Source organism: Homo sapiens, chromosome 6 (genome assembly GCF_000001405.40).
Source record: "Homo sapiens chromosome 6, GRCh38.p14 Primary Assembly".
NCBI lineage: Eukaryota > Metazoa > Chordata > Mammalia > Primates > Hominidae > Homo > Homo sapiens.
In genome coordinates, this window is record NC_000006.12 from 169,394,330 (window position 1) to 169,397,598 (window position 3,269).

Genomic DNA, 3,269 nt, shown 5'->3' on the forward strand with positions numbered 1-3,269 from the left:
GGCCAGATGCCTTCAGTTGCCCCAGGACCTTATTCCAATCCCCTGTGACAGCTAGAACTCTGTGAAGGGAAACAAAGCCAACACTCCTTTCACCCAAAAGGGAGAGAGAGGCGGGAGGGCTGCATCCTGTCCTCTCTAAGGCACCATTCCTTCCTAATTGACTCACCAGAGCTTCGGTGCCTCATCTGCCTTCAGAAAAAAGTTTGATGACAAGAGGTCTCAGAAAAAGGTGAAGAGTTTAAGTCTTCATTTACTTACCCTTCAGGGAGAGCCTCCAAAATGATGCAGGATTTTTGTTCTCAGTCACTTTGCAAGCCAGGAACCCCCAGGCAGCAACTCCACACACAGGCCTTGCTCAGCCACACTAGTGTGTCCCAGCTCACCTGTCTTACAGTTTATACCCACATTGGCAGTTCCCGAACTCTTGCATTGCACCCAGGAAGAATGGGAATATGCTGAACATTGAAGGATGATAAGGACAGAGAATAATTTTATTGAGCATTGAAAATTGTCTTCAGCAGAGAGGGAACATGGGGTTGGTCCCCTACCCGAAAACAGAAAGTACCCCCGTGTGGCTGGTCTGGGGTCTTTTATGGACTCAGAATGGGGAGTGTGTGCTGACTGGTTTGTGAGTATGCAGAAAAGTTTAAAGTGAAGACGCCACTCAATGGTGGGCACGATAGTGTAGAGAAACCAATTAGGAAAGGGTGGGTATGTATAAAATAGGTGAAGGGTGGGGACCAATCAGGGGAAAGCTGAACGGCAAGACAAGTCCTCAATCTGGTCCAAGGATTTAACTTGTAGCTTGGTTTCCAGGCTTTAAACTGTCTTTGGCTTGGATGTGGGATTTCACCAGGGACCTGCCCCACCTGCGTGGGCCTTTGGCTGCCTCCTGCTGCTCTCAAAACATAGATTTGCTAGGTACCAAGGTCTCAGGGAAGTGTAGTCATGCCCCTGCCACCTGCCTGCCCTTCTCTCTACAGGCCCCCTCATCATAAGGGAACATCAATACTAACCCTCCTGAAAACCTCTTCGGAACAGCAGTTGTAGATGTGTTGTGGGGGGGTCAGGTTTTTCCAGGACATGTCCAAAAGCTGGCATCACACCTCTCAGTGATTGAGACACCTGCCTCAGTCTCTCGCTTCTGTTGTCAGCCTTCACCAGCTTGTGTCTCAGCCACTGAACCACCGTTTCCACCAGCCCAAGGGCTTCTTGGTAGCAGGGCCTGGATGTTGTCACGATTTGCTCCTGCATTTCCTAGCATGCAGTGGCTACTTCATAAACAGCTGGGTAGGCATTTGAAGGGACAAATGAAACTAATGACTCAGTGTCCTGTAATCCAGGTGAAACCAGCCTCATCTAACCAAGCAAGACCAGCCTTCTCTGCATGAGGCATCTGCCCACTGCATTTAACTCTAGCAGAGGGTCCACCTTTTGTAAGCTTGGCCGATGAAAGAAAAAATTTAAAATATGACATTTTACTGTGGTCAAGTGTCCTGAGGAATAAACAATTTATTCAACAAACATGATGTGCAAAGATTTTGTTCTTCCGTGTTCTCTGACAGGGCTGCATTGAGGGCTTCACTATTTCCTCACAAAAGTCCAGTTTTGTGAGAGCTTGGGAGGCATGAGTGACAGGGAGTGAAGATAACCAGACCCTGTAGGTAAGTGACAGGGACCAAAAATGACCACACCCTGCAGACAACCAACGTCACAGGGACCGAAAATGACCTCACTCTGCAGACAACCAAAGCAACAGGGACCAAAAATGACCTCACTCTGCAGGTAACCAAAGTCACAGGGACCAAAAATGACCTCACTCTGAAGACAACCAAAGCCACAGGGAACGAAAATGACCTCACTCTGCAGGTAACCAAAGTCACAGGGACCGAAAATGACCTCACTCTGCAGACAACCAAAGCGACAGGGACCAAAAATGACCTCACTCTGAAGACAACCAAAGCCACAGGGAATGAAAATGACCTCACCCTGCAGGTAACCAAAGTCACAGGGACCGAAAATGACCTCACTCTGCAGGTAACCAAAGTCACAGGGACCAAAAATGACCTCACCCTGCAGACAACCAAAGTCACAGGGACCAAAAATGATCTCACACTGCAGACAACCAAAGTCACAGGGACTGAAAATGACCTCACTCTGCAGGTAACCAAAGTCACAGGGACCGAAAATGACCTCACCCTGCAGACAACCAAAGTCACAGGGAGTGAAGACTCCACAGGAGACTGGAGGAGGGGAGCCACAGCTCTTGCCACCCAGCGAGTCTAATGAACATGCACTTCATAAATCGAACCTCTCCCCAGGTTTCTTCTTCTGGGCCCTCTGGCTCATCCTCCTCTCCGCCCACACCCCCTCAGCTTCCCCTTTCGGCTGCCCAGCAGGCCAGCTGCCATGCCATGCTCTGCAGAACCCAGATTAGCCGCATGAGCAGCCCTGCTTTTCTCCAGCGAGCCCGCGGTTTGGATGCCATCCTGGTGCAGATGTGCATTGAGCACCTACAGAGAACCAGGCTCACTTCTGTGCTGGAAGAAAGAAGTCATCCCCCCACTCAGGGAGCTCTCGCGAAATAACACTGCTCCTCCACAGGACAGCACCTTCTTAAATATGCGGTTCCGAGAGTGCAAAATCAGCACTCACAGGAGGACGCTAAGGCTCAGAAGATGCAGGGCACTTGCCCGAGTATAACAGGTGGGTACTAATCCGAGGGACTCATGCCCAGCACCGTAGGAAACCCATGCGATACACCACAAACAGCCAATGCTCTGTCCATTGTTCTTCTCCCCGTCGGGTTCTGCCTTCTGATGGGAGAGACATGTTCATCCTAAAAACCTTTCCTAATTTCTCTACGACCCAGTGAAGTTCCTGAAAGTCTACATCAGACGCCCGGTCTGGATGCTGGATATTGTGAGTGTGTTACATGCTGCCTTTCTATGTGGCAAATAAATTTTGTTTAGATTATCATATCATACAATTATAAGCCCTACCTTGTCTCTGCAATTATATTGCTCACATAGTCCTGGAGATCAGACACCAAACTGCCTCAGACAATCTGACATGCCTCCATATTCTCCTTTTTTCCTGTCCCTTTTTCCAATGCCATTCCAAAAGACTGACAAAATCTTGTCGGCAAGGGTGTTTTTTCTCTTTGATAATGATTTTTTAAGTCACATTATCTTTTTCTTTTGTGGGGGTGGTGGGAGGAGGAATGGGGAAAGCCCCAATCTTTCCTTTGGGGAAAGGATGACTAACAT

General features: G+C 48.8%; 1 annotated feature.

Moving 5' to 3' along the window:
- Positions 983–2,182: an enhancer, noted in NCBI's record as "BRD4-independent group 4 enhancer chr6:169795407-169796606 (GRCh37/hg19 assembly coordinates)". NCBI's record gives its function as "activates an origin of replication core promoter dependent on BRD2, P300/CBP, MED14 and CDK7 cofactors, and independent of BRD4, by STARR-seq in HCT116 cells {active_cell/tissue: HCT116}" and the evidence as "EXISTENCE:reporter gene assay evidence [ECO:0000049][PMID:35650434]".